A 27,205-nucleotide genomic window follows, 5' to 3' on the forward strand; every position below is an offset into this window, starting at 1 on the left:
TCCCTGCAATCTAATTTATACCTAAACAAGGCACTTTTCTAGTTAGGTATAGAGCTACCACACATGTGAGTGTGGGAGCTGAACTTGAAGTTGTTTCTGCCTTCCAGCTGGGAGGTATGATACATGTATCCTGCGGCTGTTGTGAGTGTTGCATCAACCTCCTGAACAAACGCCTAGTGCCTTCTCCTCCCAGGGCGATCTGGTGATTGTTTCCTTATGCATTCTCTGAGGACACAAGCCCTGGCTTCATGGCTCAGTGTTAACGTTATGAAGGAGAGGTGACTATACCCAGCTTCCTTACAAGGTTTTGGAAATGCTCCATGAGAGGTTATGTAAGTCACATCCATAGTCTCTTAAACCAGCAGGCCCTTTGGTAATGTGGCACAGGGTTTGCTTGACTCACTTAATGTTCAAATTGGGTGTCTTAAACCATCTGGAGGAGGAAGAGCTTTGATTTAGTGGCTGACAAAAAAAAAATCCAGATATGGAAGCTCCAATGTATGTGAAATAAAACCACTGTTGAAACTGGCTGTCACTTTAAAAACTATCCATATTGATGCGCTGTGAAAACATGACAAGTCACCACAGGAAACAAAATAGAGGGGTCACTAAAGCCCAGAGCTCCTGCATGGCCCCCTTAGTCCTGAAACTTAAAAATGGAAGCATGTTTCAGGCTGAGGTTCACACCTCAGCAAACAGCTGACTCTAATTCTTAAAGGACCCTGTCTAATAGGACTTCAAACTGGCTCCAAATGGTTGGGACAGTCCCATCCAACATCAAATTACAACCTCACTAATCCAGACTGATTAGGATTGTGCATGGGCCTCAACTGAAGACTTCCTTGGCTTTGACAATTCTTTCCTCCTCACGAGGACTGCAGGCTGCAGCCTTATCAAAATGTTTCCTTGAAATTTTATAACTTTTCACACACTTGAAAAGCATAATTTACCTTAATGCAGCAGGTAGAAATGGGGGAAATTAATAAACTTGTAGTCTAATTTGAGTTTCTATAGTATTTTGGAGAAATAAGTTCACAGTTCATTGAAGAATTTTATAATTCAGATTTCAGTAATGAAAAATACAAAAATAATAGCAATAATAATGTGTGCACACATGCACAAACAATGAGAATAAGGCAAAGATAGTAAAATGGTAACAAATGGGGAAATGAGAATAGGGGAGTCCTTCATACTGTTCTTGCAACATTTCTGTAATTATGAACTGTTTCAAAATAAACTTAAACATTCACAAACACACAGGAATGAATATATATAACCCCTATTCCTAAAAAAATTAAAAAAGAGATTATTGGGTGCAGTGGCTCATGCCCGTAATCCCAACACTTTGGGAGGCTGAGGTGGGAGGACTGCTTGAGGCTGGAGACCAGCCTGGGCAACAAAGTGAGACCCTGTCTCTACAAAAAATACAAAAAGTAGCTGGGCATGGTGGTGCATGCCTGTGGTCCCAGCTACACAGAAAGCTGAGGCAGGAGGATAGCCTGAACCTGGGAGGCTGAAGCTGCAGTAAGCTATGTTTGCACCACCGCACTCCAGCCTGGGTGATGGAGCAAAAGACCATGTCTCAAAAAAAAATGATTTTTTAAGTATTTAATAATCACCACAGTTACTGTTGCTGACATGCCCACCCATTTGAAAAATATTGGACCATAAAGAAATTTACCAAAGTGTTAACACTGGGAAATGCCTCTGGGTTTGGGTTTCTCAAAGGATATTCCTTATAAACATTTTTATAAGGGGAGACACATACATACACATACACACACACACACATACACACACACATGCACACATTTTGGGAAAACATCATACTATATCCCTGAGAATATTGTTCAAGTTTTTCTAGGCTTGCATTTTCCAAATTTATTTGACCACAGAATCCCCACCCCCAACCCCCACTACCATCCCAATAAGCCTGAAGAAAGAACTTTGGTGGTGATAGCATATGCGATACTTTTCCCCTGATCTTTTACTTTTACTCTAAGTTTTCTTCAGAACACATTTTACTCATTATAACAACAAAGGCATCAAAACATGGTTCCTACCATCTTTAACAGACATTTCTGTTTGGTCGACTTGCATGCTAATGATACCACTATTTAGAAAACAACTTAATTATGCAATTTCTAGTCTCCCCTGACCACAGAGCAGCTTCAGGTCTAATTCTGGCTTAGAGGTAGGGAAACAGCAGAAGCTGCTCTGTGCCACCAGCAGCTGAGGAGCCTGCACCTGTGTGCAATGGCTTGGCAGCTCATGCCAGTGCTGGGCCTGGGTGAGGCCATTCCAAGGAGTAGTATAGCTTGCTGAAGGCCTGGCTCCACCTCACTATTTTCAGAGCACAGGGTCTTAGAACCTGGAAAGCAGCCTGGACATATATGTCTTCTGCCTCTGAGCTCTCCAGGACTTCATGTATTCATTTCCTAGCACTGATCCTCGGCAGGTAAGAAGCAAAACTAGCTGTAACTATACAGCAAAACTTTAGCTATATATGTATATAACTTAAGTCCAAATACTGGCTTATGTCAGGATCTAAAAGAAAATGCGGATATCAATGATGCAGGTACTGTAGGCTGACTGTATTGTGTAGTGGTATAAAGCATGAGTTTGGAGTGAAATTTACTTGTTCCAAATTCAACCTTGCCTACACTTAATGTTATTTAACTTCTCTAAGCCTCTGCTTCCTTACCTGTAAGATGGGTACAATACTATTAATAATCTTACAGAATTGTTTTGAATGGTATAAATGCGACCATTCGCAACAAGTACTTAGCATAGAGCCTGGCCACATACAGAACACTCATCAATTTATGTGAACAACGACAATGATTATTAGTAAATTTTATGAATTTAGACTCTCTCAGAGGTGGGCAAATTATGGCCAGCCACACATTCGAGTGTTTATATGCTGTCTATGGCTGCTTGAGAGCTACAAAGGCAGGACTGAGCAGCTGTGACAGAAACCATACGGTCCCCAAAGCTGAAAATATTTACCATCTAACTTTCATAGAGAAAATTCGTTGACCCCCAGTGATCAACATTTGGGTGAATAAAGAACCAGATCTTTTTCCTACAGAAATGTTGGTTGTTGGTCCCTTATTCTCCTCAATGTCCCAATTTAGAATCAGATACAAGAGTGTTATTTATAGTGATTTGGTCCACAGGATCTGTAGTTCACACTTTCCTTATAATGCAAAACACATACACAGCTTTCTGTCTTGCGGTAGGAGGGGAAATCTACAGTGCCTGAGGTTGCCTGTTGGTCTTTCCATCTCCCCTCTTTCCTGACCAGCCCATTCAGAAAGGACCTCCCCTATTTCAGAGTCCAGTGATTCCAGCTGAAGTGTATGAGTCCACAGCCATCCTCCCCTCCCCCGAAGTCACATTTGTGCATTATGTAGAAACCACACATGTCCCCAGAGGTTGAAGCAAGAGGTGAAAGATGATCTGGAAGAGGCATGCAGGAAACTAAGCAAACAGAAATGAAGGATGCTTTCAAGGGGGCTGAATAGCCACACACAGGATTAACAAGGCAGTGAGGGCCTTCAGAAATGAGGGCTACAGCCACCCTGTCGCTGCCCGTAAGAGCTCAGTAAGGAAAATGAGGGCCAACCCAGAAAAATGAAGAACGTGCCTCAAAATCAGGTCCCAAGACATATCCCCGCATCCAATCATACTGAATATTTTTTTTGGCAGGAAAACTTGTTTATTTGGGGGAAATGAATCCACAGCATTAATGGATAATGCAGTTGAAGGAACTCCTGGGACTGGTCTCTGGGAGGGGAAATTTGCACAAAAGAAACCATTCTAACTGCCTTCAGTTATGTTCTCTTGAAAAAAGAAGCCTCAGCCAGCTGTTTGAACAGATTAAACTGGGGTGTACTTAGATATACACAGTGTCTTTCTGGTGGTCACTTGCTGCCTTACTGGAAAATATCAACATCTTTGAGAAGTCAATCCAATAGAGAAATGTCTATGTTAAATACTGATGAGAATGATGAAGGCTGGTCAAGGAGGCGGCGGAGGCAGATGATTTCTATTGTTACCTAGTAGAGCCGGGCCTTCAGTACACACAGTGACAAATCTTACTTGAAGCTAAGTCAGTTTTCAGCTATGTTTCTTAAAGTGTAACGGGCTGGCAGAGGGGGTAAAATAAAGCTCTCTCCAAAGCTCAGGGTTAATTTGGGGATGTTCAGCTTGGCCAGAGCCAGAAGACCTGGCTCTCGCAGATGAAATGCATATGGGCTATTATGCCAAGTAGATTGAAAAAAAAAAGTAAGAGGCTCAACCGGGCGCGGTGGCTCACGCCTCTAATCCCAGCACTTTGGGAGGCCGGGGCAGGCAGATCATTTGAGTTCAGGAGTTTGAAATGAGCTTGGCTAACATGGTGAAAGCCCGTCTCTACTAAAAATACAAAAATTATCCGGGTGTGGTGGATGCCTGTAATCCCAGCTACTTGGGAGGCTGAGGCAGGAGAATCGTTTGAGCCCGGGAAGCAGAGGTTGCAGTGAACAGAGATCGCACCACTGCACTCCTGCCTGGAAGACAGAGCGAGACTGTCTCAAAAAAGAAAGAAAGAAAAAAAAAAGGCTCTATAATGTAAGGATCTTTCAGAGCTAGGACTGTGGTTTCAGCCCAGGTTTCTTTAGGGAAAGGCAAAGGGAACTCACATTCTCCCAAAGCCCACTCTGTGTGGGGTGCTCCATAGGGTTCTATTATCACACCCGTAAATTCTGTTCCTGGACTGTGTGGAGGGAAAATCAGGGCTGGATTAGTCGGCAGGCTTTGTCTAGATAGTCTGAGTTTCTCCTGCACAGTATGTTAAACAAATGCAGCAGGCCTGATGAGAGAGGAAGAATCCAAAATACATTAGAAATATGGGAAAGTCACTCTGGGAAAGTATGGGAAGAGCCGGGGGCTTGATTAGCAATGAAAAGGGAATGGTTGCGGCATTCAGGGTGCTGATTATGTGGCTGATGGGAGGCCAGGTGTCTATGAGAGGAGACCAGTTTCCCCTTAAAGCCTGGCAAAAGAGTGTTGAGGACCAACCAGGACAAGGCCTGGCTTCAGACCTGGTTGCAAACAGACCAAGTCTAGATCTAGAAGTGGAATTTGAAGTTCAAGGGATTGGGTTAACTCAAGTCCTGGAAATGAGATAAAGGGAGTTAAGGAGTGACCATTTAATGTATTTAGCAACTGACAGGCTGAACAATGAGGTCTGAGCTTGAAATCAGCTTAAAGTTGAATGACCTATTCCTTAAGGAGCACTTGCACCAAGAGGATCATTAACCGGACTAAGCATGCTAGACCCAAATCTGCCACTCAGGCCAACTCAACCCATTCTGCTGTTTCCCTACCTCTAAGCCAGAATTAGACCTGAAGCTGCTCTGTAAAATTCTAAGAATAGTCTTAAGCAGAGAAATCTATTACTCACCTTGATGCTGGCCACAAAAAACTTATCCAAGACAGCTTCCTAGCTAAGTAAACCTTTCACATGGAAGCTATCTGTTTGTCAGATGCCTATACAGCTGTGGACATGGAAATGTCTTCTAAGAACTTTCAACAATACTTTTTAATCATTCTCCTAGGTAAACAGCCCATAATTAATGGAGTTAGAAATCTTGCAAATTTATTCTATTGAGAGGCAGTAGCTTTGGCCTAGCTTTGCCACTAGTTATACAACCTGAGGTAGAGTCACTTAACTTCTTTGTGCTTCAAATTCCTTGTCTAGAAAATGCAGGGTTTAAACTAGTTTAGTACCTGAAGCTCCAACACAGCGAAATGAGAAAACTGCCTAACAATAAAAGTACCCCATAAAGAAGAGGGGAGTGGAAAGAAAGCTGGGCACTGTTGGTGGATCAAGACCAATGGATTGGGAGGAAAGCTATGTCCCTGATGCTGGATCTAAGAGACCACACCAAACTCACACACCAGTCCAAAAGGATGTGGATCTTACCCCAAAGCTAGAACTCACTTTTCCTTACAAACAAACATTAGTCAACAGCAGCAGCTAATGTCAATATTAGCTATGGTTATGTAATATGCAAACACTGAGTTTTAGAATTACACTGGACTTTTATCCCAAACAAAGACCCAAGATGGGGAGACAGAGTCTATAGCACAATCTCTTCTGTCTTCATGGCAATTGGTGCCACAATTACAGCATTTTGCTATGACTTGCATGTCATCTTTGCCACTGGACTTGAGATTCTCTAGGTCTTTTCTTTTTCATTTTTCCTTTTGTAGCTCTGCATTTGGCACATGGTAAACCCACGGTAGACTGGGTTTCTTCATTCATTCAACAAACACAGATTATCTTTTATTGGCTTCTACAGGGGGTAGAGATAAGGATTACATGAGGGGAGGAAATGACAACAGCAAACTTCTGTGATGTGTATTTTTTTCTTCATTACAAAAAGTGATAAATTCACTACAGAAAATTTAGCAAATGCAAAGAAAAACATTCACCTGAAATACATCTAGGCAGACGAATGTAAGAGTCTTACAGGCATCCACAGTATGTGAGGCACGTTTGCTAACTTAACGTACTTTTCGCCACTGAGATCCATTTAAAAAATTACTGGAAAATAACATTCCCGTTTTTCTATTTATTCATTCCTGATAAAAACAAAAGAGATTGTGCACAGGGCTTAGCAAGATTTTATTTTCTTCTGCTTTCGTTCAGCTTCCCAGAGGGGCAAATAAATAATTTATGGGGTTCACACCTTATGAACCTTAGACATTAACTACAGAACTAGAAGAGCTGCCTGGAATTCTAAACTGGACTTCAGAAATACCTAGGTCCAGACCAAGCACACTTGATGGAAGAGAAAATTACAGCTGTTGATCAAGTTCCTTGTACAAATTTAACTGCAGGAGCCAGAACTGGGCCTGATTCTAAATTCATTGTTCTAAATTCTAAATTCATTGTTCATTACTAAGATTCTAAATTCAGATTCTAAACTCATTGTTCCTTACTAAGAATTAGCTACCTAACTAAAACAAATCCCAAAATTCTGTCACAGTTAACTTTCTGGTTTCTCATGATTCCAGAATAAGAAAAGTAGATGATCACATCTAGGATATTTACCTGGATGAGAATTCTCAGGTGGCAGGTTAAATAAATCACCAGCAGGGCAGCCAAAGTTACTAAATACTTGAAAATTCTTCCTGGCTCTGCCACAAACATTTCAGCTCTAACAGAAATTTTAAAAATAGGCCAGTGAAGGTGAGTCAGGGCTCACTGGTTAATAGATGGGAAACTATCAGATAAAGCTTACAGACGACTGACTTGGGGCCCAACTTCCTGCCCATGGCTTACCTGCATTCTGCATAGGGGAGGCATGTGTGGAGAGCACCCAACTTGTTTCGAGTATCTCCTCCTCTCAGGTATCCCCAAGAGTGAGCCTAATACAGCTTGCTGGGAGAGGGGAGAGAAGCGGGTATCCAAAGCACCTCACCAAGAAAAGAAGCTTGCTGTGTGTGGCAGATGAGTGTTTTACAGGGGTGTCTCATAGGTGCACAGTTACCCTTTCCAATTGAACAACGCACACTCAGCAAGAGCCTGAGAACATTTAGAGAGTAGAGGCCCTTCCTCTGAAGAACACATACCCTGGAGTTGGCTGAGACTTGGGGGCCCCTGCCCACGTGCCTTGCCACCCCTGATGTGCCTCAAGCATTTAAAGTTGCAGCACATACTCATGTGTCAACATGGCTCTTAAATGCCAGTCAATGACTTCAACTGGCACTCCATCACAGGAACATTAACTCTTCCCAGCACTGGAGGAAGAGGCGAAGGCTTGTATGCCGGTCTCAGGTAGCTGTGACCACATGTGATTTCCACTGTGTGTATAGCCCTATTCAAAAGGGACAGAGATCTGTAGGGGAGATGACAAGTCCCTGATCAAATCTCAACTGACCAGCACTCATCCTCATAATAGTACTCACGTAGTCCTCATTCAAGGAAGAAAAGGGCCAAAGGAGGAGGGCTTACCCACTCTCTTCATTTAGCTGGCATTAAAAGGACAGCTCTCAAGTTTCATTAAAGTAAGTGTCAGCTGGCTAAGACGAAACAGTAGGGGGAATGGACAGTCAATGTGGGCTCTACCTATTTTGTAGGTAGAAACCTAATAGTAATGCACAAACCAGAATAAAATAGAAAAGGTACATTTGTGGCAGAGCCGAGAATAGATCCCAAGTGTCCTTGAATTTCATTTTTCAGAACACTTTTAAACTTTTAAACAAGGTTCATTCTCACGGTTCTTTGTTTCAAGTCTCCCCAAAGATCTTCTCTGCCTCTTTCTCCACTCAAGATGGAGAAAGGAGTTCCACGGATTTCATTTGTTTGTTTCCCATGAGCCCCCGATGCTAAGAATGTGTGGAGTGTGAAGAGCAAGTCTTAACATTTGAACATTCCAAAGCTACCAGGGTGGGACCAGTTCAGCTCAGAGAGATTTTGCTACCACTCAGGACAAGCTGGAAATAAACACAAACATACAGACAATATGGTGCACAGAATGCCAACAGGTAAGCAAGAGAGACTGGGGTGGGAGAGGAGGCCATGCTCTTGTGCTCCCTATCCTCCCACCACACCTCCTCCGAAGAAAGAAGACAGCAGCCCACTATGTTGTGGGACATAGGCACCTGCCTTCCCTGTTCCCTACAGTTAAACTTTAGAGGCTGTCAGCTCAGTTTATATTTCAGGGTGAAGAAGGGGAAACGCCCATGGGCTCCAGGAGCCAACCATGTATTTATTATCTGTTGCTGAGGAAAGCATCATGGGAAGAACAGGGCACGGCATTCCATGGGTCCGTTTCAGAGCAGATTCTGGACTGTTTAAATGTGGATAAGCAGTGGCCAGAAGCTTACAAAACAGATTAACTGGGGCATAATGAAGCCATTAATTTATCTGTACAATGTAAAGATAGATGCATTTTTCTTTTTAATTTTATTAATTGTTCTGTATAGGTATCATATTGATTTGATTCATAAATCAAAATACAAAGGCGTACTCCCACCATCCCATCTGCCCCATTCCTTCTCCTACCCAACATGCCAGTGGTACCCATTTCTTAAAGGTTGCTTTGTGTATCCTTCTAGGGTTTATGCAAATATTAATATGTATTCTCTCCCAAACTCATCTCACAAAAAAGGTAGCAAGCACGTTATTCACATGTTCTAGACCTTGCTGTTTATCTCTTCACAGTCTTTCCATATTTTTTTTTTGAGATGGAGTCTCACTCTGTTGCCCAGTCTGGAGTGCAGTGGCGCAATCTCGGCTCACTGCAAGCTCTGCCTCCCGGGTTTACGCCATTCTCCTGCCTCAGCCTCCTGAGTAGCTGGGACTACAGACGCCCGCCACCATGCCCGGCTAATTTTTTGTATTTTTAGTAGAGACGGGGTTTCACCGTGTTAGCCAGGATGGTCTCGATCTCCTGACCTCATGATCCGCCTGCCTCGGCCTCCCAAAGTGCTGAGATTACAGGCGTGAGCCACCATGCCTGGCCACAATCTTTCCATATTGAAACACAACTAATTCATTTCCTTTTATATCTGCACAATATTCCACTATAGGGATGTACCATGATTTATTTAACTAGTTTCTTATTAATGAACATTTAGTGTTTTCCAAACTTTTTGCTGTTAAAAATAATCCTGTGATAAATAACCTTATACATTAGAGTTGCCTTTACATATTAAGATGCTTGTTTACTGCTCTGTAACCATCTAACCATGATACAAAGACAGAAGAAAATCTTGCAACTGTAAACCCATCTGAAATCAAGACAAAGCCCTTCTAAAGAAGAAAAAAGCTACAGAAAAATAAAACCAAATTTAGATTTGTTGGGTCAGGATAATGAATGATGCATACGTGGTAGCACTGGATTGGTATTTGTGAAAGGAGTGATACAGTTTGATTATTTAGGCTGCCCATTCTCCATCCTTATCCTCCTCTTGCCGACCCCCCAAAGCCTCATCACCCATTAAAGCTGCAGCGTCTGACTCTAAGAAATTCTAACAGTGTTCGGTCTCATAGAGGGGGAACACTGTGGCAAAGCAATGACTGATGAGGTGGTAGGTGTTACCTCAGAGGGCAGAAACTCACCCCCTCCTTTCCTGGTCATCGTCTGACCTGAACCCAGATGCCCAGCTGGAGATAAGACTGCATAGAGCCATCTGCACACCAAGGAAAGGAAGGCTGTGTGGGTGTTGGCTGGTCCTTCCATCAGAACACAAGTCCTGGGCAACTCCCTAGGTAACTGTCAAAGCGGCAGTCCTCAGCAGAGACCAAAGAGGAGCCCGGGGGCAGTCCCAGCACTTCTCAGACACAGCCTCCAGCAAAGGGGCAGGAAATTCTAAGCTGTCCACGGAGCTGACTCATACTCTCTTTCCACATGCATCCTGAAGGTTCTATTCTAAGTTTACCAAAGGGAACATGCCTTCAGGCAGAAGCAGAGCACAGAAGTGGTTGTGGCTGGGGCTTCAATTAGCATTTCCTCTGTAACATGTCAAGATCCCACCAGAAGGGCTAAGGAAGGAAGGAGGAGAGAGCCCATCCAGTAAACATCAGCTGAGCCAAATTCCATTGACACCTCTTTTCAGAAGTGCATATGCATCGTTACCTGTGTACACAATGACAGTTTAATTACCCTGGGGTTAAAGTCAAACTACTAAAAGTGAGTAACACTTGTTTGGGCTTTAATTGGAATAAACCAAATGTATAAAGGTATTTTTCAGACAAATTGGAGAAAATAGAACATGGATTTGGTATTAGATGAGATTAAAGAACTACTGTTAATTTTCTTAGGTGTGATCATGGTATTGCGGTTCTTGTTTTAAAGTCCTTATCTCTCAGAAATACATACTGAAGTATTTATAGATGAAATTATATGTCAGGGATTTGCTTTAAAATACTGCAGTCCACCCCCTCCATACAAGAAAAAGTGTGTGTGTGGGGCGGAGGAGACATGAATGACAGCTGGGTGATGAGTACATGGGGTGGGGGCATATACTACTCTATCTCTGTCAATGTTTCACGGTAAAAAGGAAAAAGAGCTGTTAAAATGGCTATATGCCACTGAGACCTCACTAGTGACCAGAACAGGCAGTGTGGCCCCATAGGGGTGACATTGTGTCCTGTGTGATCCTCAGATGATAAGAGTTGGTGACCGCACAAAAGTCAACCCAGTAAGTAACTGCACTCGATTTTTCATTCCATCAACTAACACATTGGTTCTCAAATGTGGCTGCACACTGGAATCACCTGGAGGGGTTACTTTTGTTGTTTTAATTCATGCCTAATTTAATTGTTTGGGGTACAGCCTGAATTTCTGGATTTTAAAAAGTTCCCCAGTAATTCTAATGTACAGTGAAGTTTGAGAGTTAGTACTCTGAGAACCTAACATACCAGTTCAGGAAGATATCAAGGGTAAGCGAATGAGAAAGGACAGGGGCAGCTGGATGCTCTCTGCTCAAGCCTTTCCTGGGACCCCCTTGGCCTGATTATCTGTCTCTCTAGGGCCTCCAAGTCTGGGGTCCAGGCTGAGCATCCCTACATTACCGGTGCAATCAAAGATGACACGAGAGCTATAGTAAAAACTAGGGACTTGGCAAACAGGTTAAAATGAGAAGCTGGACCTACTTTAAAGCCAGATGAGAAGTGACTTTTTACCAATATCAGGATTGCAGTGGATACACCAAGTGTTCCATTGAGTGTTCCCCCTCACCCACCTGAGCATTAAGTGCTAATGTGCATCTTGCTGAGAGCAGCTTATGTTAGCTACAGAAAAACTCCTGTTTTAAGAGGCTGAGGGGTCTTAAGCAGTGAAATTTGTCATAGCTGCTGAGTACTGGGGCCCTAACAGCTGGTCTTATTCAAGCAAAGAGGAAGGAGAATTCTCTTAGGAGGGCAAGCCTCTCCTCACAAAGAGACTGGGGCCATTTTCCTGTGGCAGGTGGCATACTCTGACGAGCAACGATGAGCCTCTGCCTACTTTCTTGTGGCAAAAAGATAGATTCTGGTGTCATTCTCAGAGCCTGGGAGAGGTGGAACACTTGCTCTGTTGAGTCCCCTCATCTGTGTAACTCCTATGACCTTCCCTCCTATGACAACCCTGAAGTGTAATCATGTTTCCATTTTATAGATGAGCGTAATGAGGCTCATGAAACCTTAGTTACTATGCTTGAGTCGACACTGCAATAGAGAGCAGGGCTGGAATCTGACCCAGCCAAACTCCAAGGCACTACACTTTCTCCACAGCAAAGTCCTCTAAGAGATACTTTAGGATAGAATGAACATGGCACCTCTCATTTCCACCTGTAGGAAATAATACAAAGGTTGCTTGGTCACACATCCTCCTAGATGAACCTATTAGTCATCATGAGCCTTGAACTTTGCTTTATCGTGTTCCATGGGGACATGCATTCTTCCTCCACCCACCCCAGCTGGGTGTTGCTTTCCAGCTGCCCTGGCTGCTCTGTCCGTGGCACTATACAAGGAGGTTGAGTGCTTCTTACACACCCAACTCTAAAGTCCTTGCTGAGGATACCAACCTGAGGGTCCTTCCCTTGACCTGCACTCACATATTCAGGTTTGAATTCTGTATATCATAAGGTATAGAGAAACCTGGTGTGCAAGTCAACCTAAGTCAAAAGTCACGTTTTGGACTCTACTCCTTGGATGCAGAGAACCTTCTCTGTTACTGGTCCCATTTGTAGCTATGCAAGCCCCAAAGACAAGGTCGACTCAGGTGCCAGTATCACTTAATACCGTAGGTGTAAATAAGACTAATTTTTTCTCTCTAGACTCAACCTTATAGATCTTAGTCAAGGCTGCGTACTCATCCCCAAACCCCTGTCATTAAAGCTTTTGCCCCAGGAGACTCTACTGGCGTTCCAGAGACGCTGTCAGAAGTCAAAAGCTGTCTGGAACCTTTCTTATGGAACTGCCTTCGAGGCTAGTCAATCATGAATGAGTCAGCCATTAAAAAAAATTCCATCCTTACTGTTAGTTAAACACCATTTTTAAAATTTCAGTGGCTCAAAGCTTGTTCTGGACTTATTTACCAAACTTAGCTCTAATAAACTTAAAAATCTACCTTTACAAGATAAATACTTACTAGTGCCAAGTATGGCCCCCACTTTCTCTCTTTTTTTCTTCTGAAAAGAGTTCCACAAAGGCTTCTGAAAATGTTTCCAGTAAATGGCTGTGAGATCAAGTTGAGAGAGGAGTCTCCTGAGGTGAGGTCATGGCTTTGAAAGATATAACATTCAAATACAGACGTATGTGTTCAGATGCAAAGGTACATGCTCTGAAGTGTTTGCCTTAAAACAACAAAAAATTCAAGCCACGATTATATCTTCTATTACATGTTATATAGATTATGCTCCATCAAAGAGCATTAAATGGCATTAATGATATTAATGACATTGACATGCCAAGTACACTTTGCCTTTATGTGTCCTCTTTAATTCTCATTGCAGTTCTCTGAGGAAGGCGCTCTTAGGATCCCCATTTTAGAACTGGGGAAACTGCTGCCCAGAGAAGGAGTAGCCCAACCTATGAAGCCATTGAGAGGTCAAACCAAATAGGCAGCCTGACTCCAGACACATGGCTCTTTCTTACCCCTTTGCTCATTTCCAAACCTCACCAAGTTAGCCCAGCAAAGCTCAGAGGCGCTCAGTGCTCCTCAACTCGTAGCTCAGCTGGTTTGGCAACCCAGAATTTAACCCTCCCTTGGTGTTGTGTCCCAGCCTGCACCAGCAGATGTCTTGATAATAGACAAATGCTCATGCAGAATGGAACGGTAACATACATGGGCTGGTCTAGGCAGTGCAGAATGACACCTTAACAGTTAAACACTCGGCAGCTCTAAAGCAGCATGGCCCAAGTTGTGTTCCCTGCCCACCAATTTCTAGCTTGGTCAACTTATTTCATCTCTCTAACCTGCAGTTTCTCTATCTGCAAAACAGGGAAACAAGAGTATCTCCTCTGGGGCATCTTGGGGTTTGTTATGCTAGTTAGCTGCACATAGCAAAAGGCACTTTGCATAGTACCTTCATACAGCAAGCCCTTAATACATGTTGACACCTATGGCAATTATTCCAGCAAAGGTTCAGTACATGACAGACAGCAGGGTGGGCAAAATGTGGCAAAAGCAGGGAGGTGCCTCGGTGCAGGGCCGCTCCACTGGCTGATGACAGAAGCCCTCAGCCCCGGTCCCTGAGCAGAGAGATCTCACCGTGTAATATCCTCTAGCAAATGGGAACTGTGCAATTCAACAGGTTCTGCCTGGACCTCTGAAGTCAACATGAGACTCCTCCTTGCAACAGGGAATTACTTGGGGGCTTTCAGACACCAGTGGAATTCCCCCCACCACACACACCTTTTTCCTAAAATGCCAGCTTGACATTAGGAGGTTGGTTGTGGGTCTGCACTTCTGTACTTCTCAAAGCAGGAGTTTCCTTGGTTTCACATCCACCTTGTGTTTTCCCAATATATGTCTGCGCTTGAGTAACCACTCCAAAGGGAGAAGGGAGGGGGAACTGGTCTAAAAGAGTGGCTTCCCAGTCTTTGCTGGGTGGTTTCTGAGATGGTCCTGCAGAGGAAGGGTTAAAAGGCAGCTACTGGAGCAGCCTGACCTGTGGGCAAAAGAACAATTTAAACAAGAAAATAAAATAAAACAATAGCCCCTCTGGACACCATCACCTCCACAGGTCCCATGTGGGACAGAAGGGAAGAGTTCTGCATTTAAAAAAAGATTTCCAGGAAGAAGGCTGGTCCAGGAAGAAGGCTACGAAGAAGAAGAAGAAAAAAAAGCCAGGGGGGGTGCTTTGGAAAGGATTTTTAGAAATTCTTGCTGCTGCTTATTAAATTATTAACTTTTTGCCTGGAAGCAGGCTGTCCCACACACTACCCTAGGCAGTCTAGGGTTAGGGCTGGGTAACCCCCCCTCAGCCAGACCACTAAGGAGAGGAGCCTCTGGGAATGTACTGGTTTCAAAGCCACAACTGGCAGCTGAACTCACAGCACAGACTAGCGGTACTGTCCCATAGAAATGGAAACTGAGCCACATACACAGTTTAAAATTTTCTAGTAGTCACATTTAAAGAGTAATTAAAAAGCAGGTGTCATTAATTATAACATAGTTGACACAAACCAAGATATCTAAAATATTTGTTTCCACAGTAACCAAAATAAAATAATCATTAATGAGATACTTCACATTCTTTTTTTTCTTTTTGTAATAAGGCTTCAAAATCCAATGTGTATTTTGCACTTTTAGTCAGTTCGTACAAGCCTCATTTCCAGGTTCAACAGCCCAGGTGGCAAGGACTACATACTTGACAGTGTGGGTCTAGAAGCCACGGTGTGGCGCAGTAATTCTCAGTGGAGTCACCTGGATCTCTAAGGGGGAGGGGTGCTGCCTTGCGGTGGTGTGTTTGAAAAATGTGGCATCCCAGCCCCACCTCGGAAGGCCTCAGTAAAAGGCAGCTGGCCTTTCTCCAAGTTCCGCTGCGGCACAAGCCGCCACCCACGCAGCCCGGTCACCACCGCCTCTCTGCAAGAGTCATACAAGAAGGCTTACGTTTTAAAAATACCACCGGCATGCTAGCTTGGCGTCTGTAAGCACAAAAAGTAGGAGAGCAAGGAAGGGCTCCAGAGGCAGGTGGACCGGGCCGATGAGTAAAGCGCCCACGCCTGCTTAACCATACTTGTCTATCAGGTCTGAACTCGGCCCAAGCTTCAACAGAGCTTTTCCCTCTTGCTCTGTGCTGTCATGAGCACCAAGTTCACTCTAGTTCCCTTGTCTGTGAGGCCGGGGCCCTGTTTCTAGTTGGAAGATGCTGTAAGAACAAGTGATGGTCCAATGAGGGGTATTTTGAGCTCTTCAAAGGAGCAGAATTTCTTTAGCTAATATCCCCTGTGGTATTCAACAGGGAATTTAAAATATCCTCAGATAGGGCCCTCTTCAGCTATTACTTTATGTCCTTAGAACTCTGGCCAGAAAGAAGCTACCTTTCACATGGAGGAGGGAGGCTGAGTGCCCATCAAAACCCACCAAAGGCCGCTCCCCACCGTTACGTGGGTTCCCTATGTTCTGAGATAAGGCTTTCTGGTTTGGCCCTACTTGCTGTGGTGCCTAATCGAAATCTCCCTAAGGAGAAGTCTGACACACGAGTATGGAAAAGTTCTCTTATCATTTGGAGAATATAATTTAGGGCTGGGTAGATAAACATGTACAGGAAATACTTCTATAGAGGTCTTGATCCTCTGAAGATTAATAACCCATGGAACTGGAGCCCAGCCTCAAACTCAGAGGAAATAGGCAAGTTATAAAAACAGGAAGAACGGGAAGTTTATTTTTGGATGAATATTTGTTCTAGTGAAGCTCTCGATACTGACAAAAACCTTGATCTGCAGGTCATTTGCTGTAGCTGAGCAGCTGCAGTGCATGTTTCTACAAGCTGTCCCACCAGAGATTTCCGGGTCTTTCTGGAAAGAGCCTTGCCCCACTCCTGCAAAACATCTGCCTCGCTGCCACTGGCTGAGGGACTTCTTTCTCCTGCATTCTTGATGTGCAGGATCTGCTCAGCTAGAAGCCTCAGCCACCTGCAACGGCCGCTCTCGGCCTCCTTCCCAGTGCCCAGAGCCGGCCTATCTCCACCAGGTGTGGGAACTGCAGCTCTCGGTGTCTATCCCAGCGTGGTGTTATCAGCCTCCCTCGGTGGACTGCTGGCCTCCCTGGTCTCACAGCCTCCAGTGCCCCTTTCTCCCAACCCTGTCAGCATACTTTCCATGGCTCCCTACTGCTTATGGAATAAAGTCAGATGTTCCCAAGCTTGACGGGCAAAGCTCTTCACAATCCAGCCAAATCTACTTTTACAGTCCCATCTCCATAGGCAGGACCAGCTGCATGATTTGCAGGGCCTGGTACAAAATGAAAATAATTTGTTATTTATTAACTAAATAATAATTAGTTCAAAACTTAGTAAGAATTTCAAGGCAGCAACAGCAGAGCATTAAACCAAGTGTGGGGCCCTTCTGAGAGCAAGCCGGTGTGGTAGCATAGGGTGCAGGCCCGTGAGGCCAGCCCCTTCCCCACACCTCCCTTAGACCGACCCCAGAAGGCAGATGCTACCCCCACGGAGAAAAGCCCTCCTTACCTCTTCCTCACTCCAGTGAAACTCATCCTTTCCCTCAAGGAAGACTTCAAGACAAGAAGATCGGTTTCCACCCTGTCAGGTCCCCATTCAGAGGCACTCTCTGGCCTTGATTTACAGTATGCTTATTCATTTGCCTGTCTCTCATGCACACCTCGATTCACCAAGAGTTCCAGGCTCCTTGTTCATTGCCTGTTCATTTCTGTGCCCTCCTCTCCACCTGTTCAGAACAAAACTTGACACACAGTAGATCTGCTATAAATTTCTATGGTATGTTCACTAGAAATTTTGCTTTCCACTTCTTCTTTTTTTTTTTTTTTGAGACGGACTCTTGCTCTGTCACCCAGGCTGGAGTGCAGTGGCGCCATCTCGGCTCACTGCAACCTCTGCCTCCCAGGTTCAAGCAATTCTCCTGTCTCAGCCTCCCTGAGTAGCTGGGACTACAGGCGCACCACCACACCTGGCTAATTTTTGTATTTTTAGTAGAGATGGGGTTTCACCATGTTTGCCAGGCTGGTCTCAAACTCCTGACCTCAGGTGATCCGCCTGCCTTGGCCTCCCAAAATGCTGTCATTGCAGGTGTGAGCCACCACGCCCGGCCTGCTTTCCACTTCTAATGAATACTTACAAAGCCTCTTATGACCTTGCTGACTGATTAAAGGAAAAATTAAAAATTTCCTAAGATTTCCCCTTTACATAAGAGGAGATGCCCACGCCCTCTGGGGAGTTGGAGGGCGTCTGAACAGGAACTTCCATTAACCGCCATTGTGAACTGGGCTACCCAGACACAAAGGCTGCCCATGTTGTCTTTGGCAGTTGCTTCACAGGTAACCATGCCAGTGCTGCAGTGGAGGGGAGGCGTGGCAGAGGGATGGGAGTTAGGAGAGTCAGCATGACCCTCTTTCACCTTCCTGGTCTGATACAGCGGTGGGGAGAAACCAGAGAGGAAGAAGGTCATCTGATGTTTGATTCCCTACCCACTGCCACCAAGAAGTGGAAGGAGAAGGGCAAGAACCTAGGATTTTCATACCTAGAAACTTTAAATGAGCTCTCATTTCTTTGGAAATGATGACCTTTTCAGGGAAAATGCTTATGGGCTCTTGAGTTCCTTTAGAGCAAAGCGGCAGAAGAGACAGATGATGATCCCCACTCCCCTAATAAATGCAGACCTGCGTTAGTGTTTTTCAAGAGGAAGAAAAACACTGGACATCCCAAATAGCTTCCTAAATGTTCAGGTAAAGTTGATTTTTCCAGCAATTGTTAACTGATCATGCCCATGGGAGATGGTGAGGCAAAGAAGGGGGATGATATTGTATCAGAAAGCACAGGACTGGTCGGGTGCGGTGGCTCACGCCTGTAATCCCAGCACTTTGGGAAGCGGGGGCGGGAGGATCGCCTGAGGTCAGGAGTTTGAGACCAGCCTGGCCAACAGGGTGAAACCTCATCTCTACTAAAGATACAAAAATTAGCTGGGCGTGGTAGCGGGTGCCTATAATCCTAGCTACTCGGGAGGCTGAGGCAGGAGAATCGCTTGAACCCGGGAGATGGAGGTTGCAGGGAGCCGAGATCGCGCCATTGCACTCCAGCCTGGGCGACAAGAGTGAGACTCTGTCTCAAAAAAAAAAAAAAAAAAAGAAAGCACTGGTATCAGAAGGTCTTCACTAGATTTAATCAAGGGACCTTCTTACCCCAGCAGGGCATTCAGCAACCACAATAGTAGTAGCAGCAGCTAACAATTATGGAGACAAGTATTCACTAGGTAAGGGCCAGGTCACGTCCTCTCTATCGTACCTCTCATGGCATTGGTACCATCTGTACTCTTTTTGTTTACATGCTTCTATGCATATTGTGTATCTCCCCCTTAAGAATGTAAGGTCACTTCTGATTATGCAACACCCAGAACAGTGCTGCAAACTTAGTAAGCTCATAATGCAATCATGAATTTGACAAATATACATCATCTTCATCCTTACAGTATGGCTTCCATTTTTATAGAGGAAGAGAGATCAAGTAAAGCTCGGACTATCTATATAAGGAAGGAAATTTCAGGTTTGGGCTCTTCAGCTGTCATTCTGTATATTCAGAGCACTCTGTGTTTCAGAAGTCTTGGGCATAAAAGCATCTTTTAAAAATAACGTCTACTTTTGTAACAAACCTGCACGTTGTGCACATGTACCCTAAAACTTAAAGTATAATTTAAAAAAACAACAAAACAAAAAATAAGAATGTCTGCTTTAGAGACCCAGCTTTCCCACCATACTTCACCTAGAACTCACACGGATGAACAGTTTTCTACATATGGCTAAGAGCTTTTTTTTTTTTTTTAAGTTGAACCTGGTTCTAATGTTATAGAAAAACACTTCAACGTAAAGTATTCAGTGAATACCCTAAATGTCTAAAACCCCAAAGGGGAAGCCAGTGGGGCTCTCACAGTATTGATGGAGTGAATTTAAGGCACTGTCTAAATGCCTTGTGCAGTGTGGGCTGTGTGGGAGGTGCACAGTGGGTGCTGGCTCCCTCTGTTGGGGTCACAGAACACAGGGGCAGGAATTCTACATTGCTGACCGGAACAATCTCCTCAGCCACCTCTGCCTTGGTCTGTACTGCCGCTCTCGCACTTTCTCTTTAGGGAATACAGTCATTGCTCTCTAGTGATGCCCACCACACAAGGAATCATATTCACAGAGGTGTCTTGTTTCCATAGCTAAAACAGTCATTTGTAACACGGATCAGCTGGTTTTCACAGAAAACAATGGTAAGCACACCTAGGTCTCAGTTTACTTAGCAGAGAGCAACAGCTAAATATATTCAATTCTGATACCAATAAATGAAAAATCATAGCAAAATCGTCAAAACATATCTGTAAACACTTCTAAATTATTTTGGAAGTAACTAGGGCCTACATTGGAAAGGTTAGGTATTTGTGTGCATACTAACTCCAGAGTGAAGATACTATAGAGTTTGGTTAAAACAAATTTAAAAATTTAAATATATAAATGCATTTCCAATTTAGATCTAAAGACTATGAAACTAAAAATGCCGATTTACCATAAACATATAATATATATACATGTATATGAAAGGAAATGTATACACACTGAAAACCTAGGGAAAGCAAATTCTTTTCTTTTTCTTTTTTTTTTTGAGAGTTTGGCTCTGTTGCCCAGGCTGGAGTGCAGTGGCATGATCTCAGTTCACTGCATTCTCCGCCTCCCACATTCAAGCGATTCTCCTGCCTCCGCCTCCCAAGTAGCTGGGATTACACATGTGCACCACCATGTCTGGCTAATTTTTGTATTTTCAGTAGAGACAGGGTTTCACCATGTTGGCCAGGTTGGTCTCGAACTCCTGACCTCAAGTGATCTGCCTCGGCCTCCCAAAGTGCTGGGATTACAGGCATGAGCCACCACGCCCAGCGGAGAACGAATTTCTAAAAACCACCACGATGCAGCCATGCAGCTCGCGTCTTCAGCTTCAGCACATCACACAGCCGCACAGAGCTGGGCCAGCGCCTCACCCACATGCTGTGTTCACTTATTTTAATAAAGCGTGTATGGGGAAAAGAAAGTTCAACCTGAGTGAATCCAGTGCTTATGAAACTCTGAATATGAGCCCTCAAGGTAGAGATCGCGTGTCTCCTATTAGGGGCCGGGCCAAAGACATTATCAGTGCCCAACAAATGACGGTGAGGTCATGCCAGCCCTAGGCGGCATGTGGGCAGGGCCGCCCTGCCTGCCCAGTGCCTGGCTCCCAGCTAAAGTACCTGCTCCTACTTGATCCTGGGCCTTGAAAAATTAGCCAAGGCCCATGGGCTTACGGCTCCATTTTCAGTGACTTCTTGAGCCCATAAGAGTATAGTGAGTACAGTGAGGGTGGCTGGGAGATGTCCTGGTCTCCTACTGCAGGGTTTACCATGTGCTCTTAGGGGCTGTTATCAATTAGGCAGGAAGTCCCTCAGTCCCCTCCAGTGATTCTTCCAGGGCAGACAAAGGACCAAAAGCAGGAGGGGGGTGGTGAAAAGCAATTTTTCCCCAAAACAGGCACACCACACACACACACACCCCAACTAAAAACACTACTGTTGTGTTCACGGATGTTTCCTAGGTACCCAAAGCAAAACCCAAACCCTGAGCATGTGGTTTCATATTATAAAGGCCCTATTCTTTAATTAAAATGGTCTTTCTCCATCTCACTGTAGCCCACCCCCTCCTTGGCTCAGGGGTAAATTGCTCTCCCAGGCAGCCACACAAGCCACCAATTCAGCCAATATCCACAGAGAAAGCTGGCGAGTCACTGGGATTTGAAAGGTTCAACAGGTGGGGGTCAGGACAGAGATTCTGTACTGGGAGGGGCAGGCATCAGGGCTGCAGGACTCCTGCCTGTCCCTATGCTCTGGCCTCTGAGACCCCAGCCCTCTTTCCTCTGGAGGATGAAAGGCCCTTCCCTTCACAGCTCTGTGCCAGTGTGAGGAATCCATCTGGCCAGGCCCGAGAGTTCAATTCTCCCTTGTTCTCACCCCAAGAGATGCCTCATTTCCTCTTCCAGAGACAGCAATACAAAGACATGCTCAACCTTTTTTTTTTTTTTTTTTAAGGGAACACCTTGCCTTGGGAGAAGCACAATCTTTCCTTTGAACATGAAACATTCTAAAGACACCCTACTTTTACAGTGGAGAAACAGTTAATTTTTCTACATTACTTCTCCTCTTACCCCTGAAGGGTGTGTTGGGGGAGGAAGGAGGGTGACACCCACTTTTGAGAAACATATAGATTCTGCGAAACATAACACACACAGTCCAAATTTAAACTTTGTTTTAGCTTAAGCATCCCAGTCCCCACAAGGAAGTACCCCAAACTTTGTTGTGTTATTTGTTTATTAACAGATTTCTAAGATTTAAAAGCAAAAACATCACCCATAGCTAAAAAGAAATGTAGATGTGGTGCTTCTACCTCATGAGTGAGGAATGCTGGTGCCCTCTCATTGTTCAATTAATGTGACAAAACAATTATAGAATTTCTGGCATCGTTCTCAGAAATTCTGACAAGTTCAGACAATAACTAAAGGTATTTCTTTTTGATACAGAAATGGAGTTGCTCTAACTTGAATGATGGTTAGGAAGATCTTTGCCATACACAGACTTTGAAGGAGTGAGAAATTTTGCAGGAGTAAAATGGCATTATTAATAAAAAATTGAAATACACTTTTAAAAAATGGAAAGTAAAGCAAGTTTGTTGAAGAAGTGTTTAAAACAGGTAAGCAAAAACAATAAACCCACTACTCAGAGATAATACTGTTAACAAAACAATGTGCAAGTGTGAGGGTCTTTGTGGAGCAAAGCTGAGGATGGACACCCTGATACACATCACCCCTTTCCTATGTTTGGATTCTTCCTGCAATTCGCAGAGACCAGAACCCTCACGGAAGCTTGTGACACCTCCAGAAATGTTTGATGGTCTGGGCAGAGGAGCCAAAATCACCTTTCTGAGAGGAAGGTGACTGATGAGCCAGACCTGGCAAAATAAAAGAAAAGGAGAAGTGTTTCCAGAAATAACCAAGGCTGCACCTGCACCCAGTCCTTTGCCACAAGACCATGTAGCAAAACTGAAAGAACTCTATCACCAGAGAACAGTAACTCTGCCATGGAAATCCCCGCCCCGGCTCCCTCCCGACAGGTGGAAGATGTTTCCTCTGTGTAAGGTCAAAGGCAGTCCTGGCAATGACTGTGGGACTGGAGTGAGCCTGGCCAGCCCAGAGGTTTGGCGTGGGGAGTAACAGCATCGTTACTGTTGAGAGAGGCAGCAAGAGGAGAGGCTGGAGTCGGGGATCTACAGAGATGCAGGAGGTGGTCAATGGCCCAGACTCTGGATCCGAACTGCCTGAGTTCAAATCCAGATTCTGTCAAGGGCTGTGTGGCTATGGGTGAATTACTCCATGTCTCTATGCCTCTGTAAATGGGGATGCAACAACAGTATCTAGTTCATAGGGTTATGATGATTAAACTGTGAACCACCAAAAGCATTTAGAGCACTGTGGGCTACATGTAAATGCTATTTAAGTCTTTGCACATTTACTCTTTCCCTGTATTTTCTAGAACAAGTCACGTTAATTTTATCATCAGAAAATCTACTCCCTGGGCCAAGCACAGTGGCTCATGCCTGTAATCCCAGCACTTTGGGAGGCCAAGGTAGTGGATCACTTGAGCTCAGGAGTTTGAGACCAGCCTAGGCAACATGTAAAACCCCGTCTCTACAAAAAATGCAAAATAAAATTAGCTGGGTGTGGGGGTGCATGCCTGTAGTCCCAGCTACTTGGGCAGGTGAGGTGGGAGAATCGCTTGAGCCTGGGAGGCAGAGGCTGCAGTGAGCCAGGTTCATGCCACTGCACTCCAGCCTGGGTGACAGAGCGAGACTCCATCTCAAAAAAAAAAAAAAAAATCTACTGCCTGACTACCACACAGGCCCCATGAGCTTGTCACTTTATCTTTGGCCCTTCCTTTCAAATGGGCACAACCTCACCTTAATGTGTACACACACACACACACACACACACACACACACACGAATCATTAATTGTCCAGAGTAGGACTTCCAGTGCTAAAACCAGGGCAGTACCAGGCCAACGGGAACAGGTGGTCACCTTAATATAACATAAAAGAATAAACAAGAAAAACAAGAGTCATGCCAGTAACACCACAGCTCAGAAATGATGGACCCATGCTAACATTCTGGTGTAGTTCCCGAAATTCTTTTGCTATGCACGTTTTAGGCAAACTTTAGGCAAAATTTGGATCATGTTATGTAGGCAGAATTCTGTATTGGATTTTCATTCAGTTTTGTATTGCCCATCTTATTAACATTCCTTAAAAGTACTATTTTCCAAGGCTGCATAATATATCAATAGAATGTTCCAGGTGGCTTAACCATTGTAATAGGTTCTTATCAACAGTTTCACTCACAAAACTTTAAACACTGCCCATAAATGTGTTTTCACTTGACTATTATCTTTAAGTTTCTAGAGGAGAAATTTTTAGACAAGAGGATGAATTTTTTTTTAAAAGAAGTATTACAGGTTACCAAACTGCTTTCCAGAAAGGGTGCACTGAATTCTACTCTCAAACAACAGGGCATGAAAAATGTTCCCTCACCAAAACCACAATAGCATTTTAAAATATTTTTCTTTCTGGTAATAATAACAGTTGAAAAGCTGCTATTATGTTTTCATTGCATTAGTTGAAATTTGTAGGGTTAAATATATTGTGCTATATTTATTTAGTCAACTATATATTTCTTTTTTGTTAGCCTGGTGTTTTTTTAAAAAGTATTAAGTTATCTGTTTTCTCCTGGTTGTCTTTGTCTCTTTTTATAATCTCCTGAACTCTTCATAGTTTTATATTAACTCATAATGGAGGCAAATTTTACATATTTGTTAAATTTGTCTCTGATATTGCACAAACTTATGTTTCGAAATTTATCAGTGATTTCCTCTGTCATTTCTTCCAGAATTTCTTTTTTTTTTTTTTTTTTTTTGGAGACAGGGTCTTGCTCTGTCACCTACACTGGAGTGCAGTGGTGCAATCATGGCTCCCTGAAGCCTCAACCTTCTGGGCTCAAGCGATCCTCCCACTCAGCCTCCCAACCACAGGTGACAACAGGTGTGCATTACCATGCCTGGCTAATTTTAATTTTTGTAGAGACAGGGTATCATTATGTTGCCCAGGCTGGTCTCGAACTCTTGGGCTCAAGTGATCCTCCTACCTCAGCCTCCCAAAGTGCTAAGATTACAGGCGTGAGCCACTAAACCCAGTCTCTTCCAAAACTTTTATGTGTGGACAACCCTTCTTCCTTTAGAGAGGAGTTGAATATCCACCTACATGTTCTTCTAGTTTATTTTTTATTTTAAGGATTTCGTTTTTTTAGTATTCATCTTATAGTCTTAAAATGTGAGGTCAAGCTCTATATTAGAACAAAATCACAAAGCCCATGGTACAATGGAGTTGTGTTGAAATGAGGAAATTGTTAGAAATTAAATCCACAGGATACAAACTAGGGATTTGCATGAGACCTACTCTCAGTAATGAATCAGTTCATTAAAAAGCTGTACTTGACAATGAATAGGATTAATCAGAACATGCCAGGGACACTCAGTCCTCCCCCTCCTCCAAGCCCTTGTCTTCCTAAGGGTTGTCGGGGAAGACTGTTGAGAGTGGCAAGGATGAGGGACGGAAGCAGAGGGCAGCACATGGACCAGCACGGGACCATGGATCCGTCAGACCTCCATGAACTAGAGATTCTACCTGCTACTCAACAGCAAGAAAAGGAACTTCGAGGAGCCTGCAAAGAGTTTAAAATAGATCTCTCCTTTTCAAAAGGCAAAAGATCATGGAACTAGCTATTTTTCTTACAAAAAGTTGTTGCTACAGAGATAAAAATAAGGCAGTATGTTATTTTAAATAATCCTAAATGTAGCTTCCAACCACTTTTAGACTCCTGCACAGAGATAGATGCAGTACTATTGTAAAAAACCCAATGTTGCGAATGTGGCATCTCTCCCCAGCCTGACTCTCCACCTACATTTCCAGCCTCTACTCCCTTCCCCAAAATCCAGAGCTGAAAATTGCTATTTTATGCAATACCTGTTTAGTGATTAATCATAAGGCTTTTTTTTTTTTTTCTTTTTTTTGAGATGGAGTCTGGCTCTGTCTCCCAGGCTGGAGTGCAGTGGCACAATCTCGGCTCACTGCAACCTTCACCTCCCGGGTTCAAGTGATTCTCCTGCCTCAGCCTCCCGAGTAGCTGTGACTACACAGGCACGTGCCACTACCGCCCGGCTAATTTTTGTGTTTTTAGTAGAGACAGGGTTTCATCATGTTGGCCAGGCTGGTCTCGAACTCCTGACCTCAAATGATCCGCCCGCCTCTGCCTCCCAAAGTGCTAGGATTATAGGTGTGAACCACTGCGCCTATTATTTTTTGTTGTTGTTGTTTTTACACTTTATAATAACGGTCATTATAAAGCGATTTACCAGAAATGAGAAAGACTTATTGGTGTCTCCTGGTCTGTGGCCCCCTTCTCAAAACAACTATCTCAAGTATTCCCTCATACTAGGGAAACATGAACTATTTTCTTTGGAGAATTCATTTATTCATTCATTCAGTCATTGTTATTGCCAACTGTCAGGCTACTCTTGATAATGGAACAGAAACCCACAATGGAGTCAAAGCTGCATTCCAGTTGCAGCTCTGGCACCTAATAGCTGGGGGGTCTTGAGCAAGCTTCTAAACCTTCTGAACCTGGGTTCCTCATTTCTGAAATGGGGCTAAAACTACACAAGCAAAAAATGTTATGAGGAGTATAAGGACGTGTGAAATACTAAGGCAGGAAAATTGTAACATTTCAATGAATAGCAGCTGCTACTTGAAAAAAAAAGCTTTCCCTGTGCCCAGTGCATCTCTGGATGAGATGTCTCCCTCATATGTAAATTTTTTAAAGTCCAGCAAACAATTTAAATTCTCATTTCCTCTCAGGTAGCTACTCTGCTAGAAATAGACCAACCACACAGTTCAACAACTATGCAATTACACATCATTTGGTTTAGGAAGATGATGCCACAGATGCATCCTCACTTTAAAATTCTCAGGTGCCTGGCAAAGGATGCTGCTTTTAGAGACCTGCCCTCCATCAGGGTGGCTGCTGGCGCCCTGCACAGACCACTCGGATAGAGGCAGCTGTGAATGGACAGGAACAAGGGCTTAATGGACCTTCCATTTAAAAGCAGCCTCAATGAACACAAAAACTGAGAATGAGAAAGGCCTCTGGGTCAAATCTAACTGAGGAACACATACTTTATGACAACAGGTTTCACAGACGCTAGATCCAACATTCATCGGACCACTGGAACTTAGAGAAGAACAAACACGTGCCCTGCCCCCTCCCTGGTGCTTACAAACACCCATCAGGACAGGGCTTTGTCCCCTGTGTGTGCACCTCAGTCCCAGGCCTCCTTGCTTTTCTGCTACGGTACGAAGATT

The 27,205-nt window shown here is 44.0% G+C and overlaps 1 protein-coding gene across 4 annotated transcripts in view, besides 7 other annotated features; it reads right to left on the minus strand.

Annotated features, from left to right (window-relative positions):
- Window positions 1–27,205, minus strand: part of SPRED2 (sprouty related EVH1 domain containing 2) — a 125,425-nt gene that overhangs the window by 60,318 nt on the left and 37,902 nt on the right. The window contains exon 1 of one of the 4 annotated variants that reach the window (XM_047443709.1): window positions 13,134–18,816. The exons of the other annotated variants lie outside the window; for them this stretch is intronic. The gene's annotated coding sequence lies outside the window, so the exon portion shown is untranslated. Of the gene's footprint in view, window positions 1–13,133; window positions 18,817–27,205 lie in introns of those variants that run through there. 4 annotated transcript variants of the gene reach the window in all.
- Window positions 10,232–10,813: an enhancer, noted in NCBI's record as "NANOG-H3K27ac hESC enhancer chr2:65604858-65605439 (GRCh37/hg19 assembly coordinates)". NCBI's record gives its function as "activates a minimal SCP1, AML or CMV promoter by ChIP-STARR-seq in naive H9 embryonic stem cells {active_cell/tissue: H9 hESC(naive)}" and the evidence as "EXISTENCE:reporter gene assay evidence [ECO:0000049][PMID:30033119]".
- Window positions 15,507–15,636: an enhancer, noted in NCBI's record as "active region_15931". NCBI's record gives its function as "activates an Ori minimal core promoter by ATAC-STARR-seq in GM12878 lymphoblastoid cells {active_cell/tissue: GM12878}" and the evidence as "EXISTENCE:reporter gene assay evidence [ECO:0000049][PMID:35858748]".
- Window positions 15,847–15,896: an enhancer, noted in NCBI's record as "active region_15932". NCBI's record gives its function as "activates an Ori minimal core promoter by ATAC-STARR-seq in GM12878 lymphoblastoid cells {active_cell/tissue: GM12878}" and the evidence as "EXISTENCE:reporter gene assay evidence [ECO:0000049][PMID:35858748]".
- Window positions 20,252–20,788: an enhancer, noted in NCBI's record as "H3K4me1 hESC enhancer chr2:65614878-65615414 (GRCh37/hg19 assembly coordinates)". NCBI's record gives its function as "activates a minimal SCP1, AML or CMV promoter by ChIP-STARR-seq in naive H9 embryonic stem cells {active_cell/tissue: H9 hESC(naive)}" and the evidence as "EXISTENCE:reporter gene assay evidence [ECO:0000049][PMID:30033119]".
- Window positions 22,609–22,768: an enhancer, noted in NCBI's record as "active region_15933". NCBI's record gives its function as "activates an Ori minimal core promoter by ATAC-STARR-seq in GM12878 lymphoblastoid cells {active_cell/tissue: GM12878}" and the evidence as "EXISTENCE:reporter gene assay evidence [ECO:0000049][PMID:35858748]".
- Window positions 22,819–22,888: an enhancer, noted in NCBI's record as "active region_15934". NCBI's record gives its function as "activates an Ori minimal core promoter by ATAC-STARR-seq in GM12878 lymphoblastoid cells {active_cell/tissue: GM12878}" and the evidence as "EXISTENCE:reporter gene assay evidence [ECO:0000049][PMID:35858748]".
- Window positions 22,979–23,098: an enhancer, noted in NCBI's record as "active region_15935". NCBI's record gives its function as "activates an Ori minimal core promoter by ATAC-STARR-seq in GM12878 lymphoblastoid cells {active_cell/tissue: GM12878}" and the evidence as "EXISTENCE:reporter gene assay evidence [ECO:0000049][PMID:35858748]".

The sequence above is a fragment of the Homo sapiens genome, chromosome 2 (genome assembly GCF_000001405.40).
Source record: "Homo sapiens chromosome 2, GRCh38.p14 Primary Assembly".
NCBI classification, from domain to species: Eukaryota; Metazoa; Chordata; class Mammalia; order Primates; family Hominidae; genus Homo; species Homo sapiens.